This window comes from Homo sapiens, chromosome 14 (assembly GCF_000001405.40).
Source record: "Homo sapiens chromosome 14, GRCh38.p14 Primary Assembly".
NCBI classification, from domain to species: Eukaryota; Metazoa; Chordata; class Mammalia; order Primates; family Hominidae; genus Homo; species Homo sapiens.
In genome coordinates, this window is record NC_000014.9 from 74,187,657 (window position 1) to 74,206,954 (window position 19,298).

The window sequence follows — 19,298 nt, forward strand, 5'->3', positions numbered from 1 at the left end:
TTTATTTATTTCACAAATATTTGTTAACATCTGTGTGCACGTTACTTTACAAGTGTCGGTTGAATTAACTTTTGTAAATGTAATAGCAAAAACATTGTACAGGGTTCTGTAAATAGCCATAAAGTTAATCTTAGGGGAAAATTTTTTTCTTGTGCCAGCACTTACTGAGCACTTAACTGTATTATCTTTAAGGCTCACAATAACTCAGTAAGGTAGATACCAATCCCCACTTAACAGAGGAAGGAACTGAGGCATGGAGAGCCTACATAATTCATCTGAGATCACTAATACGTGATGGATTTACACCTAAGGTAGATTTAAATCCCTTACGATCATAGGTTTTCTGTCATAAGTATTAAAAGTTTCTATTAAACAACAAAATAGTTTATAGGGAAATATTATATTTGTCCTCACTAGTATTTTAAATTAAATCCATAATGTCCAATGAACCATACACAAAAATTCATAGAGATTTTTTGTATGTGCTTTAAACTAGAACTAGCTGCAGTTAAAACCCAGATTGTAATTTTACAAACAAGGCCACCCCTAACAATATTAAAATAAAATGATATTATTCCCTGGCTTAAAGAAAAATTCTCCAATAACCATGGGAATGCTTGTGGTATGAAGACAGCATCTTAAATCTCGATGCAAGTCATACACAAAGTGTTATTGCGATGAAAAAATAGTGGCGTGAATAATACCCGCTCACAGCCCAAGACATTTGATGTATCTTGGGCCTCAGTGTTTGTTGGATTTTATAATTTCATGAGGAAGATTTGTATTTTTTTAAAAAGTTCTATATTTCTGTGTGTTCCACTTGATGTCAAATCTGTATTCTTAGGTTGTAGGGTTCCATTAAAAAAAATAAATAATCTCAGCCCCTCCTCCCTCCACCCCCGTTTCCCCCCACACTCATTTTGTATAATATGGTAATGATATCACCGTAGCAGTAATTACGGGTCATCTTCATTTCTTTCATCTCTGCCTGTTCTGGTGGCTTCATTCCTTTGACGGGAAAGATTTGGCTCTGGGTGCTATGATTATTTTGTTAAGCGTTATTCGAATAGACAGGAGTGAGAGAAATTAATCAATCCAAATGCAATTAGCATCATGTTTAACCCAGTGATGGACGTCTCAAGGTGAAACAGCCAGGGGAGTTTCAGACATTATTATTCAATCCAGTGGTTCTTATCTAAATTATAATCAAGAGAGGTTTTTATTGGCTTCTCAGTGTGAAGATGTAACCCTTTCCCTTCCCTGGGGGTCAAGAAGACTAGGCCTTCATCATCCCTAGACGTTAGCTGTTGCCAGCTGCCAGCCCCTTGAAGTCAGATAGACAGGGCAGGAAAGTTGTCTGAATATGCAGGTCATTTGAAATTATCTATACTGTGATCCTGGTCTGATTTTCCTGAGAGTGGAACCTAGCCTATGAATAAGCTACTCTGTCTAACTTGGGGCAAAATATTTTGTGTTCTGATCAAGTCACTTTGACTAGTTGTTGTTCTTCTATCTTAACCTTACATGATAGATTATTATTGCTGTTCTTACTTTATGGATGAGGATATTAAGTCTGTGAAGCTACTAGCCTTTGGTCATAATAAGTGTTTCACCAGGATGTATTACTATGTAAAGGCCCTGAAGCATGAATGTTCTGCACAAATTTATGAGTATTTAATAAAAGTTCTAGCCCCCAGAGTATTAATTCATTGCTCTGATCTCATTGCCTTTCATTCAATTGAGTTGTACCCTTGAAAAGGAAACCAAGTAAAACTATGAAATAGACCTGTCAGGTCCTCAGAAAAGGAAACAAAGTGCAGCTAAGAAGTTGTTAGCTCTCATTTCTCGAACACAGATCTTTGGGGGTTTTTTGCTGTTGTTTTGGTTTGTTTCTAGTAGGAAGAAGGATGATAAGAATACATATTTGAAATCTAGTCTTGTTTTGCTCTTAAAAGAGGGCAGAGCAAGGAGAGTTGATGGAGAAACAGTCTTTCACTTGAATGCAACATTTTTCAAATGCCTGACAATTAAGATTCTTCTACTTCTGCCTTCAATCATCAGGCATCATGGCTGACACTTCCCATATTTTATGTTCCTGCTTGATGTTTTATATTCTGAAAATAAATCTGTTGGTTGGATATTTCTGTCCTTTTTTTTCTGTTATGAAAAGCCATTAAAATTATTTTCCATATTGGAACTGTCCAAATTTGTTTACCTGCACATTGAGTCCTGGCTTTTCTTTTTCATATTACTTCTTGGATAAAACACTGTCTGCAAATGGGTGTTACTATGAATTGAAGAAAAAAAGTTTGATATAAAATTATCTTTCTCAGGCTGGGCATGGTGGCTCATGCCTGTAATCCCAGCACTTTGGGAGACTGAGGCAAGAGGATTGCTTGAGGCCAAGAGTTCAAGACCAGTTCAACATAGCAAGACCCCATATCTACAAAAAATTAAAGTTATAAAGTAAAATAAATAATAAAATTTTCTTTCTCAGCAGTCACTGGAGGGAACATTGTTCTTGGCCACTGCACGCTTTTGGAAGAATCCTGATAAAGAGCCAAGATACCCAATAGAAAGATAATCTAGAAAGTGTGCTCCCAAAAAGATTTTTTTGAGAACACTGAGGACAAAAATTTTGATAGTCTGTGATAGTTTGATCCAGACTGTTCTTTTCTCAGGTATATAGTATTTTAGTCTCCTTTTTGAAATGTTTTATTATGCCTAAATAACTTTTTTTTTTTTTTTTTTTTGAGACAGAGTCTTACCCTGTCACCCAGGCTTGAGTACACTGGTGCGATCTCAGCTCACTGCAACCTCCGCCTCCCAGATTCAAGCAATCCTCCCCCTTCAGCCTCCCAAGTAGCTGGGATTACAAGCATGTGCCACCATGCCTAGCTAATTTTTGTATTTTTACTAGAGATGGGGTTCCACCATGCTGCCCAGGCTGGTCTCAAACTCCTGACCTCAAGTGATCTGGCTGTCTCGACCTCCCAAAGTGCTGGGATTATAGATCTGAGCCACCATGCCTGGCCACCTAAAGAACTTTAGGCAAAAGCCTCAAGGCTGCCGACCTTCAAATGCTACTTTTATATATTTTAGAGAGAAGTAAGATTTACACCAAAGACTGTTGCTAGTGTATACTTCTCCACAAGAGTGGACGGAGAACAATCAGTGGACCTTATTACAGTTACACCACCTGCTGAGGGCCACCAAGTGTCCTAATGGGATGAAGCTCCAAAAGACCCGTCCTCATCCAGTGACACTGTGTGCTCTTCACAGCTCCTTCTGCTCTTGACAGTGACTCCAGCACCAGCTGCTCTCATATCAGAGGCATTAAAAAGTGCTTAGTCCTTGACTTATTGATCACTTAGTGATACTTTTCCTGTGGAGATCTGACACTGAGCTGGAGTGTGGTGAAGAGTCAGTCTGGCAGACTGCCCTGGAACTGCTCTGCTGTACACCAGCTCTGCGCCAGAGCCACAGGGAAACGTTGCACATTCCTGCGAGACAGAAATCAGCATTATAAATCACATTGCTCTCTTTTTGTTCTCTGCCAATCCACCAGAATACCTGTTAACAACAGCTAGCTCCATCTCAAAGGCAGCATTGCCTTTGAGAATAGTCTCTTTCTGTGGGAAAGCATGTCTTTGACTTTATTTGAATCTTCCTAATATCTAGTACATAGTGTGTGCTCCATGTGACTGCCTTCACTCTTCACCACCCCCTCCATGCTTCTTTTCTGCACAGCACACACTGATAACTGATCAGCAGGTCCCTTTTGTCATAGCTGTTAGAATACATTCAAGATAGAATACATTCAAGATTTCAGGGACCAAAAAAGTAATTTTAAAAGAAGAGTCAAAACTATAACTATAACAAATGGCATCATTTCTGTAAAAACATCTTTTATGAGGCCAATTAAATAAACAGCCTTTAGCACATTGATTTAAACTAAACTGGGGTTTTTTTCTTTCTTTCTTTTTTTTTTTTTTGAGATGGAGCCTTGCTCTGTCGTCCAGGCCGGAGTGCAGTGGTGCAATCTCGACTCACTGCAAGCTCCGCCTCCCGGGTTCACGCCATTCTCCTGCCTCAGCCTCCCCAGTAGCTGGGACTACAGGCACCCACCACCACGCCTGGCTAATTTTTTTTGTATTTTTAGTAGAGATGGAGTTTCACCGTGTTAGCCAGGATGGTCACGATCTCCTGACCTCGTGATCTGCCCACCTCGGCCTTCCAAAGTGCTGGGATTACAGGCGTGAGCCACCGCGCCCGGCCACTAAACTGGGATTTTATGTGTTCCTTTTGGCTAGAAGTATCTACTGGTATAGTTAAAGAAGGTAGCTCCACCTAGTACCCGACATTACTCCAGCCAGGCTTAATACACCACAGTATGCCTTCATTCACACAGATGCAAGTCATTTGTGTTACCATTTATCTTGCATTGGAAGATCTTTTTAGAAATAAATAGGTCTTTTGTCACTCCTGGTGCTATGTATGTGCTTACTTGGTGTAGATCTGGTACCTCCTGTAAAGCAGCAGCTAAGGAGACTCCACGGCTTACCATGACTGACAAGAAGGCCAAGGAAGGAAGCAAGACTGAGAACAGTGGTTGTTTTTTGTTTTTGTTTTTGTTTTTTGTTTTTTGAGACAGAGTCTCACTCCGTTGACCAGGCTGGATTACAGTCGCATGATCTCGGCTCACTGCAACCTCTGCCTCCTGGGTTCAAGCGATTCTCCTGCCTCAGCCTCCCGAGTAGCTGGGACTACAGGCACATGCCCCCACGCCCAGCTAATTTTTGTATTTTTAGTAGAGATGAGGTTTCACCATGTTGGCCAGGCTGGTCTCGAACTCCTGACCCCTCAGGTAGTCCGCCTGCCTTGGCCTCCCAAAGTGCTGGGATTACAGGCATGAGCCACCATGCCCAGCCAACAGTGGTCATATTAATTTGAAGGTGGAGGGGTAGGATAGTTCAGTGGTGCAGTCTAAGATTAAGAGGCATACACCACTTGGTAGACTAATGAAAGCTCGTTGTGAACAACAGTATATCAATGAGGCAGATCAGATTCCAATTTGATGGGCAGCCAATTAATGAGACAGACACACCTGCACAGTTGGAAATGAGGATACAATTGATATGTTCCAGCAGCAGACAGGAGGTGTCTACTACAAAGGGAACCTGCTCTTTACTGCAGAACTCCATTCCCACAGACCAGGAATACATTCTCAGAAAACTACAACTCCGTTGAATTCCATCCTGACTACAAAAGTGTAGGGTTTTTTTTGTCCTTTCGTGTACCCCTTTCTCATTCCTTTACTGTGCATAAAGTGACTGGCATTTGTGCACAAGCATATTACCTTTTTATTTTTAAACTAAATGGCCAATGATATGTTTTGATCAACATCAGATGGAGATAAGATGGGGATAAATACTGATTCTGTGGCAATGCCCCCTTTCTCCATTAGTGGCATGCTCATTCAGCTCTTATCTTTATACTTCATTAAGTTATTTTGCCTCATCATTTAATAAAAATCAATAACAAAAAATCCTTCCATGCTTGAAGCTAGTAGTTCAAGATCCTGTCTCCACAAAAAAAAAAAAAAGAAAAAAATTAGCCAGGTATTGCATGCCTGTAGTCACAACTACTTAGGAGGCTGAGGCAGGAGGATCACTTGAGTCCAGGAGGTTGAGGCTGCAGTGAGCTATGGCTGCACCACTGCACTCCAGCCTGGGTGACAGAACGAGACCTTGTCTCTTATAAAAAAAAAAAAAATCCTTCCATACCTTGTTAAATTTGAGAATTTTGGTGTTTTTCACGTGTCATTCTAAAACCAACCAGTTTTTAAACTCTTGTACATAGCTGTTACATGTAGGGCAATATGTCTTTAAGTAGGGATAAGTTACTCTAAAAGAAATGAATCTTAGATAGTTTTCCCACCAGGCATCCTATTGCTTAAGTAAACTTTCTGTTTGAAATGAAACAAATAGTTTTACAGTAGCTAGCATTTATTGAATGCCTGTGTGACTTTGTATTAATCCTACCTTGAATGAATGAGGAAAGGAGCTCAGAAAAATAACTTGGTAATTTGCCTATGTGGCCCAGGGTCAATGTAAGAGCTGAAGTCCTGCTCTTTTCACAATATTACATTGTCTCCTTTGTTTCCTGGCCACTCATATTACAATCTCCTAAAAGCAACCTGTTATTGCTCTTCTGAATATGAGAAACCCAGTGGAAAGTAATTTGTCCCCGCTTCACAAACATTTTTAATTATGTTGAGGCATAGAAATATTTAAAGTAGTTTGCATTGGAATTGAAAAACTGAACTATGAGTTTCTTCCACTTCATTAAAAAGTTTCTTAAAATTTACATTGTTCCCTACATAAAAGCTGAGCAGAATTTTATCAGGCAATTGCCTCAAAGTTATAATCTGGACAATCTTTCTGTAATAAAACCCATATGTCATTGGGGAAAGGTGCAGAGCCCTGGCAGAGAGGGCTGGTCTTGAGAGAGGTTCTGCACCCAATCTCGTTAACCAGGGTGCCTCTGGTAATCCCTCATCCCTCACCAGTGAGAAATCAATCTGTACCACTGAATCTTTTTCAACCAGCCACCAGAAAAATTTACTGCAGAGAAGGCAGTTTGGGGATAGTTATCGTGGAAAGTGAGCCAGAAGCAAGGCTAAATGTAGGATGGAGGAATTGGAGAGTCTAAAGAAGAGATTATATTAAACCACACACCACTTTCAGAGCAGGCACAGTGGAGTCCTCCTTTCAGCCCTGACCTCTCCAAGTATACCCAGGTATTTACAGCTGCCATGAACTGGATAGCCCTGGAGGAACTACGAAAGTGGTGGGGGATAACAGAAACAGTGGAAACCTGAAAGTTGATTGTAGTCTATCCATTTGCTGTCTCTCAGTGTGTAGTAGCCAGTCCCCTCTCCACACTCTGCAGCATTTCACATGTTAACCCTATAGTGACAGTTTCAATTGTGGCTTTCTCAATTTGTGATCTATGTACGACATAATAGGGCCTGTAAATCATGACTTGACATAGGGGTCATGCTTCTCTCCTGCACGGCATACACCAGTAGCTGATGACCAGTGGGCCCCTCTTGGCATAGTTATTAGAATGGAAGCGGTGTTGCCTTCCTGTGAAACCTTGTAATCTTAGAGAATAAATCCAGAATCAAAAAAATAGTTGACAGGCTGGGCGAGGTGGCTCATGCCTATAATCCTAGCACTTTGGGAGGCCAAGGCGGGCAGATCAACTGAGGTCAGGAGTCCGAGACCAGCCTGGCCAACATGGTGAAAACCTGTCTGTACCAAAAATACAAAGAATTAGCCAAGTGTGGTGGTGCATGCTTGTAATCCCAGCTACTTGAGAGACTGTGGCAGGAGAATCACTTGAACCGGGGAGGCAGAGGTTGCAGTGAGCTGAGATTGCAACATTGCACTCCAACCTGGGCAACAAGAGCGAGACTCTGTTTCAAAAAAAAAGAAAATAGTTGACAGATTTCACTGACTCTATATAACACTCTCTCTCTCCCAATCTTGTTGTGTCTAGAATTGTTTTCTATATAATATAATACATTATGGGGAACAAAGAAAAAGGAGAAAATGGAGGAACTGGGAGTGCCAAGCTGAAGAACATGTAGTCTTACTCTGGCCATTCATCCTAGAATTATACCAAGCTACAACCATTGTGAAGAAGAAGGGACAGAACCAGGCAGTGGGGAATAGAAATGGCTTTCTCTTCTCTGTAAGCAGGCAGTAGTCATCTCTAAAGATTTTTCCCCAAAGAGATTTGAAATTCCTGATGGGAGCTTAAAAAGCTAAGAGTAAAATACATTTATTTATAAGACCCTACTAGAAGAGGTGTGTGTGGGTGTGTGTGTGTATGTGTGTGTGTGTGTGTGTGCGCGTGTAGACGAGGAATACAGAATAGTAGCAGAAGGCTGTCTCCCTACTCCTAATGGGATTTTGTAGCAGTATGTGCAAGTTTGTTTCAGAAGTCAAAAATGAACAGATGTTAGTATAAATTACCTCTGTGTCTGATGTCTTGCAAATTAAAAGCGCAGTTGGCATCACTAAACAATTTCACTAGGTTTGGGGGGGTTCGGTTAGCGGGCGGTGATTACTGTAGCAGGTCGGTAAGAATCTTCGCCCTGCAGCAGAGCAAGGATAAAGAAATGAGGAATAAAATAAGGGCTATATGAATTAATCAGAAATGTTAACATCTCTGATGACAAGTGAACAGGAGGGCACGTGCTCTGGAGCAGCCCCTGACCCACAGCAATTTCTCTGTGCACAAAAAGGGGTTGGTGCTTAGCATCTGATTTATAGGGCACAGCCCTCTTTTAGGGAGCGGCTGTGTCATACATTCGTATATCTCCTGTATGGGACTGGCGAGTAGGAAAACTTTCTCTCCTCCCATGTAGGAGATGATGTCTTTTGAATTACTTCTACTTTTACAGTGGTTTCCTGCAGCTCTGTGTACTTGGATTAGGTTGAAGGGGGAGGAATGATTGAGTAGAAAAAGGGTTGTTAAAAAGGATTGGTTAAATTCAAGGAGAGCTTGCCACTGAGAGACTTCAGAATATCTATTTATTTTTCCTTTTAAACCCTTTTGACCCCTTAAATTGTGTGGATCTTTTAAAATTCTAAGTCTTAAAATATTGGTCATTTTCCCATTTGGGGAAAAACAGTAAGGAGTTGGTGAGTCTGAAGGTCAGCAGGCAGAAATCATTGGTTAGAGCAATGCAGTGCTCCAGGCCCAGGATTTTTGGAACAAGGCTCTATTCTCTCCAGAAGACTTTTGTATTGACCGTGTCTGGTTTCCAGAGCTCCTGCTTCTAGCCATGTTGCAGGATCATTAGTTACATGTTTAAACTTGAGAGTAGACAGATAACCCATCTAGTAGAAATAAGTGAGACCCAATCTGCCCAAAAGTATAAGTAAATTTCTTTTCCTTCAAGCTGAGGGAAAAGATTCCAAGGAACGGAGTTTTGTTTGCTAGCCTCCCTTTGTGCAGTTTGTTCATTCATTCATTCATTCATTCACTCACTCAGAAAATACTAAGTGCGAGAGAACTTACCCCCCTCTGGAAAGTGTTGTGTTAATGATTAGCACTATACCAAGCATGTTCATTGCTAATATCCAAGAGAAAAGTAGGGTATTAACATGCTCTCCGTTACAAATGAAGAGACTGAGGCTCAGAGATCTGCCCAGCCCAAGGTGTCACCCTGCTGCTAAGTGCTAGAGCTGAAACTTAAACTGAGTTCAAATCCTGTGTTCTCTGCAAGAAGCCCATGCTACCTCCTATGGGCAAGACAGTACTTGATTGGATTTTCTCTAGAGTAGTTAGTCCTTGACCCCAGTCTCTCCATGAACTTGGCATTATTTGCATTAAGGGAAATGATTTTCTTGCCAAATAAGCAAGGCACATTTAAAAAGACTCCCATCATGTAGAGAATGGAGCACTGAGGGCCACTAACTAGTCATATTTGTTAATGGAAAGGAAGGAAACTAACATTTTTTGCATTTCTACTTGGTTCTAGTTCTTTGGTGTATTATAATTTATCCAGTCAACACTTACTCAGCAGACACTAGGTCTGCTGAGTCTGTAGCAGGTCGGTAAGAATCTTCGCAGTGCAGCAGAGCAAGGATAAAGAAATGAGGAATAAAATAAGGGCTATATGAATTAATCAGAAATGTTAACATCTCTGATGACAAGTGAACAGGAGAGCACGTGCTCTGGAGTTTGGATCTGATTGTGGATCTTTTGCCAAGGGAGAGAAGACCAAAGCTCTTAACAGTCTCTGCCTTCAGTTTTTACATTTTAGTGGAGGAAGACAACCATATAAGCTAGTAATTGCATGCAAGTCTTATGGGAACTTTCTTGTACAGGATTTGCTGTAAATCCATGAAGGAAGGAATGGTCTGTTTGATTTGGTCTGGGTTGGGGTTGTGAGCACATGAGGCAAGACCCAACACTGGGCTTCTATGCCTAGTTAATGGAATTTCCTTTCCCTTTGTTGGGGCACAGGAACTAGTGAAAGATGGGGAATGTATAGACTGAAGTTACAAAAGCCTCCCTGTGGTCCCAGAGGTTGTGTAGTTTTTATTTCTTCATTGTACAAGAAAACAAGAAACTGTTAAACTTAAATTGGGGCAGAGGGGAGCTGGAGGCCATTCATCTAGCTCCATTTGCTCTGGACTTGGGAAAGGCAACAAGGAGGCCAGGGTGAAGGTCCTTCTCATTCCTGAGAGTGCCTCCCTAGCCACCTCACTTCTTTGGCCAGGACGGAGATGTGTTCTTGGGAGACCACACAGCCTACCCCGTGCCTACTGCATGGTTCCAGAAGGCCTGGCTTCCAGAGCCAGCCATCAGCGATCAGAAACTTTCTGCACTGTTAAATCCATTTAAGAAATCTGAAAACATGGCCTTGCAGGATGAGGATGAGGATGAGGAAGGGGCTGTTACACTACGTATGCTTTCTGAGATCTAAAATGGGAGACCTCTGGAGTAGCCCTTGTAATTGAGAAATGTTTTACTTTCATTTTGGAGCCTTATATGTAGGAAAGTAGCTGTATAAACCCACTTGTAACTATAGCATTCAAAGATTGATGGTGCTGAAAGCCGGAGAAAGACACATAAACCTTGGCTGGCTATATTAAATAGCTAAGGACTGACAATGCCAAGGGAGAGAAGACCAAAGCTCTATAAACCCTACTTTATGACACCATCCACAGATGAACTGCACTGAGGGAATATAAACCCTGTTATATTACAGTATCCAGGGACTAACACTGCTGAGAGATAGGGTAAATGATCTCTAATTTTGATTTGAGATTATAAATGTCCAGAGACCAGCAACCCAGAGAAGACTAATCTTGGTTGGATTTTAGGCTTCAAGAGCAAACCCCCTGAGATAGTGAACATGAGTATTAGGTTAGATTCTAGAGACAGAGATAGGTTTTGGGGGAATCCCCTGGTGATTTGTTTAAAGGTGGATGATAAAATCTTTCCCAGTCATTTGGCATGTATCTCAATTGCCAACTTCAGAATAGCTTTGTACAGTTTTAGTTGTCTATAGTGGTTTGTTTTTACCCCCTTTTAGGTTAGTTGGTGATGATTGAATCTGTTGTGATAGCAACTTGATATATAATTTAAATCAATCTGCATTTTTAAATTAAATCTTCCTATGATTCTTTTTTCCGATTTTAGGTTTTCATTGATCATTTGTTTGCTTTGTGATTCCAGCCAGAGAGATGACACGGGGGAAATTCCTCAATATTCTAGAGAAGCCCAAGAAGTAGCAGCTGCTTGCGGACAGGATGTCCTGGGGTCCGAAACCAAGCTCCCTTCCCGGTGCACCTCTAACAATGCACACCTCACTGCTTGCTTGGGAGAGGCCAGAGGGTGTACCTCCAGGACTGCCCTCTCCCCTGCTCCTGGCACTCTACACGTCTGAGGACATTCAGCAGCAAGAGAAGAATCTGCTCTACCCAAGGATCATTGCAGTTACTCAATCAACTTTCAGACTTGAACCTTCTTAGCCTCGGATATTGGTAACAGCTGAGGGCATATCATTCTTAAAGGTCGAAGTCCTGCTTTCTCATTTCTGGAAGTGATTCAGGAGCCCCAGGATCTTACGGTTGATTTGACTCAGTCATGGCAGTCAGTTGTGACATGTTGATTGGATGGGTTCTTTTGAATTGTTCTTGATCTCTTAGAAAGTGTTTACGATGTGAGGAGACCAGAGACCAAGTAGATTCTGGACCAGACCATGCAGCCTGACCTGTGAACTCTCCAGTATATACTAAGTTCCCAGAATCCCCAGCTGAAGAAACCAGAATCTTCTCGAAATGTATATCTGTTTTTTAAAACTTCTATACCTCTTATGATAGTCCCATTTGCTTTTCATTCCTTACTTCCCAGCCCCACCTTCTAGTTCTGACTTCGGGCAGAGGGATCCCTGAGTCCCTCCTGGAATTAGCTTGTATAGTGAAAGGCCCATCCAAGGTTGTCTAAAGACCAATGTGAAGGTGACAGAAAGGACTTTTGAGTTCTAATTAATCTGTTACAGCTTCAAGCAAGAAAGTCAGTATAGCCTGAAAGACAAGAGAAACGGGATGGTTTATAGGAGTTCCCATTTGGTTGAAAGCTAGAAGCCCTAATTGACCTTAAAGTAACATGCTATGGGATGGTGGGATTGTCCCCTCTGACAGCACATATGAAATAGTTCATCTATATAATAGAAACGCACACACACGAAAAAGAATCTTCTGACTTAAATACAACTTTCATGGAGTTCTTCACCACTTATCTGTCTCTGTTAAAATCTGAAAATCTAGCCCATGGCTAAAATCTATTATATGTGTTCTCCATATTTCTTGTATAAGCCAGTCCCCAGCATCTGATGTTTTGAGAAGTGCATGGAGTTTCCTAAACTTTGCACAAAAGAATATCCTGGGGCCGGGCATGGTGGCTCACGCCTGTAATCCCAGCACTTTGGGAGGCCGAGGCAGGTGGATCATAGGTCAAAAGATCGAGACCATCCTGGCCAATATGGTGAAACCCTGTCTCTACTAAAATACAAAAATTAGCTGGGCATGATGGTGCATGCCTATAGTCCCAGCTACTTGGGGGCCTGAGGCACGAGAATCGCTTGAATTCGGGAGGTGGAGGTTGCAGTGAGCCGAAATTATGCCACTGCACTCCAGCCTGGGCAACAGAGTGAGACTCTGTCTCAGAAAAAAAAAAAAAAAAAAAAAAAAAAAAAGAATATCCCTGTGGCAATAGTCTGATGGTGTTTGGACACAAGAAAAGTTATGGTTTTGAGTCGTGAGTGTTTGCTAGGGCATGGCACTCTTCAGTTTAACAGCTGATCCATTAAACCTTTTCTGACATTTGTGCCTTGTTCTCATGCTAGAATTAATGCTGGATTTTTCTCTCATTTGACCATCAATGTAGTTTTACTTATTGAAAGGAAAAAAGACTTAACACAAGATAGGAAAGATGAGTATGAGAAGTAAAACATTCTGCTGGGGTGCTACATAGAAGGTTAGGTTGTAGGGGCTTTGATTTTAATTTAAACTTATTATCGATTGATATTTCTGTATCTCACTAAATGCGGTTGAAGAGTGTGTGTGTGTGTGTGCGCGCGCGCATGTGGCCAAAAAATAGTGCCATAATGTCAAATTCTTCCTTTGCTCTGTTTTTGAGAGTTGATGACATCAGGCACTTTTCAGTGTTTGGGGAAATTGATTGGGATACCTCCCCCAAACCAACTCAAGTCTGTAACTGGAAGCCAGGTGGTTGGTTTTCTGGTCCGCTTTGTCCTCTTTCTTTTACCGTCATCCTATTCACCAGCACTTAATGTAAGTAGATGTTTTAGAATTGCAATATTTATTGGTTTAGTATTTGTCATCCTTAGAAATGTTAATGATGTATTTTTATATTGATAATATAAATTTATGTACAGTATGTGTGTATATGTATTTCAGGATGTTATAGTATTGTACTTTGTATGTGATGGTTTTTGTGTCTTCATAATAAATATGTCCCTTTTACAGGAGGGTGAGTTTTTCCTCAGAGGGCCGAGTTGGATATTTAAAGCACAGACCTCCCCAGAAAGTACAACTGTAATGATAAATAATCTACTGTTTTCCCCCTTAATATACTTAATGGATAGTTGGGGGCTTTACAGTCATCTACTTGGTCTCCTGCCTTCCATTCTATCCTACCACTGCCCAACACCCGAAAGTAGTATTTAGAAACCCTTAATACCTTCCCGTGTCTACTAATAAAGTCTCAATCTCTTGACCCGGCATTTTAAGACTCTCTACATGTAATCCTAAGCAACCCTTCCGTTTCGTTTTCTTCCTCTCCTATATATGAAGTCTCTGTTGCAGTTACTCTGAACAGTTCCCAGTTTCTCACTTGAGTGCCTTTGCTCCTGCCTTTGAGTTCCTAGAAGGTCTTGGATCCCTTTTGCATCTGGCAAACCTATGCTTCCTATAATCTCCTGATGATCCAGCTGGAAATGGTCCTTCCCCTACATTCCTATAGCATTTACCCATATCATCCCTGTGACTCTTACCATAGTCTGCCTTATATTTAAGTGGTCTGAGTACTTTTTCTTTTTGAGACAGAGTCTCACTCTGTTGCCCAGGCTGGAGTGCAGTGGTGCAATTTTGGCTCACTGCAACCTCTGCCTCCCGGGTTCAAGCGATTCTCTGCCTCAGCCACCCTAGTAGCTGGGATTACAGGTGCATGCCACCACGCCCAGCTAATTTTTGTATTTTTAGTAGAGACGGGTTTTTGCCAAGTTGGCCAGGCTGGTCTCGAACTCCTGGCCTCAAGTGATCCTCCCGCCTCGGCCTCCCAAAGTGCTGGGATTACAGGTGTGAGCCACTACGCCTGACACTGAGTACATATCTTATTGCCCTACTAAATTCAAAGCTTCTCAAGGTATAGCTGTCTCCTGCACATCTAGTTCTTCAGTGTCTTTGAACTAGGGGTTCAAAACCTGTTTGCTTGCAGGCTTCTGGTTACACATGATAGATTGAAAACAAGTATTTATCTGCCATCTTCTAAATCCCTTAGTGTGGGTTCCTTTTCAACCATGTTCAAGAACTAGAAAAGAGGAAGTACTCATTATTGCTACTGCTATCACTCATTGATAGTTTACCTGCTCTGGACCAGAATATGCCCTTTTAAAGAAAGCATTTCATTTTAAGGAAAGCAAATTGCTTCTCATCATAGGCCCATCATTTATTTCCAAAAAAGACATCTGGATGAACAGTAGATTTCTGTGATCTAGAAAAGCATGGCTGATTGACTAAGTAGGGACAGTGTTAGGAGTGTTCTAAGTCTTTAGAGACTATTTTTACGGTAAGTAATTGTTTATTATTTGCCTACAGATATTTTTTCCCTTTTCCTTTGCCATTCCAAATACCATCCTGTAAAGCATCTGTCAGCTGTGAGCAGCAACATTCTGAAAAGCATAGTATTGGAGCTTGGAGACACATTTGCAAATTCTTATTGACATTTTTTTCTTACCAGCACTCTCATTATTTCTTGCTGTCTTCAGTCTCACAGATTCTAGGCCTCTGCTGATTTGCTTGGCCTGCCTTCCATAGGTTAGAACACTTAAAGTTCACAGGGTATTAATTGTGTTGATATTGAAATGCCATCATTCATTTTTATCTTTCCATTTTTGTCATATTTTTTAAATGGATGCTTGCTAACTGCTCCGTGGTTTTAGTTCTCTAGCTGCTCTTCTGGATGCTCCCAGATCAAGGCAGTGAAAATGGAACTGATGAAAGTCATTCCCTTGTCCCTGTGGCTTCAGAAGTGTGTTTGGACTTCCACAGGAGCTTTGAAATGAAGCCGAGAAATTTCATTTCCAGTGGGATTCCCTGACCCCTCCTGTTTCCTCCAGGATTAAGACATCACAAGAAGGTGAACAGGCAGAGCAGGAAGTGAGGAAATGGACAGTTGGGCCAAGGTGGATGGTCGCAGAAGCCAAATAACACAGTCTCTTACCAGTTCTCAGCTTCTGCACTAACTCCGTCTCCAAGAATTTGGTTATGTTCTCCATTTTCTGTTTTCTTCATCTCGTGAGAGCTACAAGGATACCTGGTCCCTATGTGGGCTTTGTTTCACCAGAGAGTCTTGCAACCCCCAACCCCAGAGAGTGGCAAAGGGTGGTGTCTCCACGGTTGTAAGTTCTGATGGACTGGAACTGATTTTTCCTATCTATGTAGGCTTTTTGGCATTTGGGGTGTGTGTCCTTGTCTATGCCTAAAGAGGCCACTGGCCTTCCCACCCTTTGCCTGGCGCTTTTTCCTCTCGAGCAGCTGGGGGCTTCAGACGATACCAGGTGTAACTGTGAGGCTCCTGGTTGGCGTGAGTGCTGGCAAAGCCTGTTAATTAGCACAGAAACACCCCAGTGCTCCATTAGCTGGGCCAGGCATTTGGAACCTTCCCCTCCTGTGGGCCCCTTCCTCCTAATGAGAGCTGGAAGAAGGGCCCTCACAAAACACTGCCTCAGAATAATATTCTGCTTTGTCCCCACCAGTAACCAGGGCTGACAGGATCACTCTGTCCATTTCTCTTCTAATTAGCACAATTCCAGCATGGCCTGAGCCAGCAAATAGAGAAAAGCGATCAAAAGCGATCGGACAACCGTACCGAATCACAAACACAAAGAGGGCCATTCCCTGTAATTAGGTGAGACAATTCCTCAGTCTTTTCTCGGCTGGAGTTTGCCGCTAAGACTCTTGCTGTTTGGGTCCCAGCAACACAAGTTACATGTCTCCCTGGGACACTAATAAGCCCCAAATTGTCTTCCGCTTCACACAACTCTACCCAGAGGACAGACATGGGGTGGTGGGGCAGGTGGCGGGGAGGGGGTGGGGCAGTGCAGTGAGGGGACGGGTCTCCCAACAAGCAGCTGCTGCAATGTTTCCCCAACTTCAAGAAGCAGACACTGGGGCTGTGGGCAGAGAGGTAAGAGTCAGTTGGCTTGAGAGAACTGCTCTTGGCACAGCCTGGCCCCTGTCACTTGAGCTGGAGTCTGAAGCACTGAGAATTTCTGACCCTCAGGGGAAGCCCCCTCTCAGCTATTTGCCCTACTCTGTTCATTCGCTGCCTCCTGTCTATGGCCCCCTCACTCCTCCCACCTCTGCAGACTGGTAGCATCACTCCAGGAACTACATTGAGCCCTTCACAAACTGTAAGCCCTACACAACTATAGTTACCATTGCAAAGAAAGCTAACACACAGCACGTGAGTGAATTCTGCCCTAGAAGACTGCATGACCTGGAAGGGGCACCCACTGCCCCCCTCACTCTGGCCTTCATTTCTAGCACCCATCACCTTTATGTCCCTGATTGTGTCCCCAACCCCTGCCTACTATCTCCTCTCTCCTGAAAGATCCCTGTTTTTTTAAAACAGAAAAGTGGCCCATCTGCCAGGGCAAGAAGCTGTAACTGGCCGCGCTCCATGTGGCTCAGAGGTTGGTCACTTAATGAACAAAAACAGCTCCCCCAGGATTGCAGCCCATTACGGGGATTACTTGGGGCGATACAGCCGTAAACTTGGTCATAGCCAGGGACAAAGGAATGCAGGGGAGAGTGGCAGTTGGAATCTCAATTAAACCCAAGTTCGGAGCAGAATTGGGCTCACATATTTTCATCTCTCTCTTGCCCTCTGCTTTCTGTCTCGATCTCTATACCTGATGTTTCTGAAAGTGACCTCCAATACCAAAGGAGATTCAGTTATGTAGAATCTGAGGAGCCAAAAAACTCAAGTAATCAGAGTTGCATTGTTTTTCTACCTTCAGTTTTCTGAGGCACAGAGAGGATAATGATAAGATTTGACTTTTAAAAATAACTTTTGGGACATGCCAAAGAATTGATCCAAATTTGTTCAATTTCCTACAGTTTCTTTGGTTATAAACAGAACTACCTGGCACATAATAGGTGCTAAAATAAGCATTTGTTGAAAGAATGAACTGTGCCTTGACATTCGGTGTTCATAGCCTCATTGCTGGTCTAAGATATAGTAAGTGCTTGGATTTTGAGAGAGAGGCAGGGGTGATCTTGTGTAAGTTACTTCTCTCTAAGCCTTGGTTTCCTTAGGACTTTTTCCACTTTAAAGAGTCATATCAGCATCATGGATAAGGGCACAGGCTCTGAAGTCAGGCTGCCTGGGTGCAAATAGCACCTAACTACTAGGGTAGCTGTAGAGATTAAACGAGTATTGCAAAGTGTTGAGAATGGTGCATGGCATATCTTACCCATTACGTATATAATTGCTTGATGGATAGATCTATAAAACAGATTCCATGTAGTATTTAATTTTTTATTATACTCACATTTGTTAAAAATTGACAATCCCTAGGCCGGACATGGTGGCTCACACCTGTAATCCCAGCACTTTGGGAGGCTGAGGCGGGTGGATCACTTGAAGTCAGGAGTTCAAGACCAGCCTGGCCAACATGGCAAAACCCCGTCTCTACTATAAAAAAAAAATGAAAAAATACAAAAAAATTTAGCTGTGCAGGGTGGCAGGTGCCTGTACTCCCAGCTACTCAGGAGGCTGAGGGAAGGGAATTGCTTGAACCTGGGAGGCAGAAGTTGCAGTGATCTGAGATTGCACCACTGCACTCCACACTGGGTGACAGAGTGAGACTGTCTCACACAAAAACAAACGACAAACAAAAAAAACATTGGCAATCCCTATAGGGAAAATATAGTAACTTCTGGTTACCTTGACTAGTCAGTTAAGCAGAATACCATTTCTGTAACCCTTCAGAAGAGCTGACAGTTTACTATTTCTCCTACCCCCATCCTTCCACCCACTGAGGCCCTGTGCCAGCATGGACACTCAGTAGAAACCATTGTTGACTCTACAGACAGTGGCATTAAGCAAGGGAGGGAAAGGTATACTTTGTGACATTGGCAAGTTTCTGAACTGATACTGAACTTGGCATACATAAGCCTCAAATCACTGTACTTTGCTAATCTTTGTAGTCCTAGTATTTTCTGAGCATCCATGCTTTTCCAATCACTGCACAGGAACACACTTCCCTGTTTGATTCAGTCATAACCTCCTACCCCTAACCCACCAGTCCTCCACATTCCTCCAGATAGTTTTCTTTTTCCTTTCCCTTCCCTTCCCTTCCCTCCTTCCCCCACTCCTCCCCCTCCCCCCTCCCTGCCTCCCTCCCTCCCTCCCTTCCTTCCTTCCTTTTTTTGGTGAGACAGGGTCTCCCTCTGTCACCAAGGCTAGAGTGCAGTGGCACGATCTCAGCTCGCTGCAACCTCTGCCTTCTGGGCTCAAGCAGTCCTCCTGCCTCAGCCTCCAAAGTAGTTGGGACCACAAGCACGTGCCACCACATCTGGCTAATTTTTGTATTTTTTGCAGAGATGGGGTTTCGCCATGTTGCCCAGGCTGGTCTCGAACTCCTGGGCTCAAGTGATCCGCCCACCTCCGCCTCCCAAAGTATTGGGATGAGCCACTGTGCCTGGGCCAGATAGTTTTCTATGGTGTGAGATTTGTCAGGTTCTCGCAAACCTGTCAGGTCCCTTTCCAGGACTAAGCAGGGTCCACTCAGGCTTCTGCTCCCGCAGCAGCCTCCTCTGGGCTTTGCCTTCTCTGGGAGCCCATGGAGAGACCCTCGCCTGACTGCAGCCTGAGGCCTCAGGGTCAAGCGAGGCTGAAGGTCACATCCCAGGGCCTTTCTGGACGCAGCCAAGCCCCAGGAGCCAAGCTGGCCTGAG

At 42.8% G+C, this 19,298-nt stretch overlaps 1 protein-coding gene and 1 pseudogene across 2 annotated transcripts in view, besides 1 other annotated feature; both read left to right on the top strand.

Moving 5' to 3' along the window:
• The window catches only part of LIN52 (lin-52 DREAM MuvB core complex component), a 116,538-nt gene extending 102,701 nt beyond the window's left edge, over positions 1-13,837 (top strand). For both annotated transcript variants that reach the window (NM_001024674.3, NM_001372006.1), the window contains exon 6: positions 11,266-13,837. In NM_001024674.3, the coding sequence (NP_001019845.2) occupies positions 11,266-11,321 (56 nt within the window). In that variant the 3' untranslated portion in view covers positions 11,322-13,837. The remainder of the gene's footprint in view (positions 1-11,265) is intronic.
• On the top strand, positions 4,240-5,621 carry LOC112268141 (small ubiquitin-related modifier 2-like; annotated as a pseudogene).
• Positions 14,517-14,717: a silencer, noted in NCBI's record as "peak2199 fragment used in MPRA reporter construct". NCBI's record gives its function as "represses an SCP1 promoter by STARR-seq MPRAs in K562 erythroleukemia cells {active_cell/tissue: K562}" and the evidence as "EXISTENCE:reporter gene assay evidence [ECO:0000049][PMID:32103011]".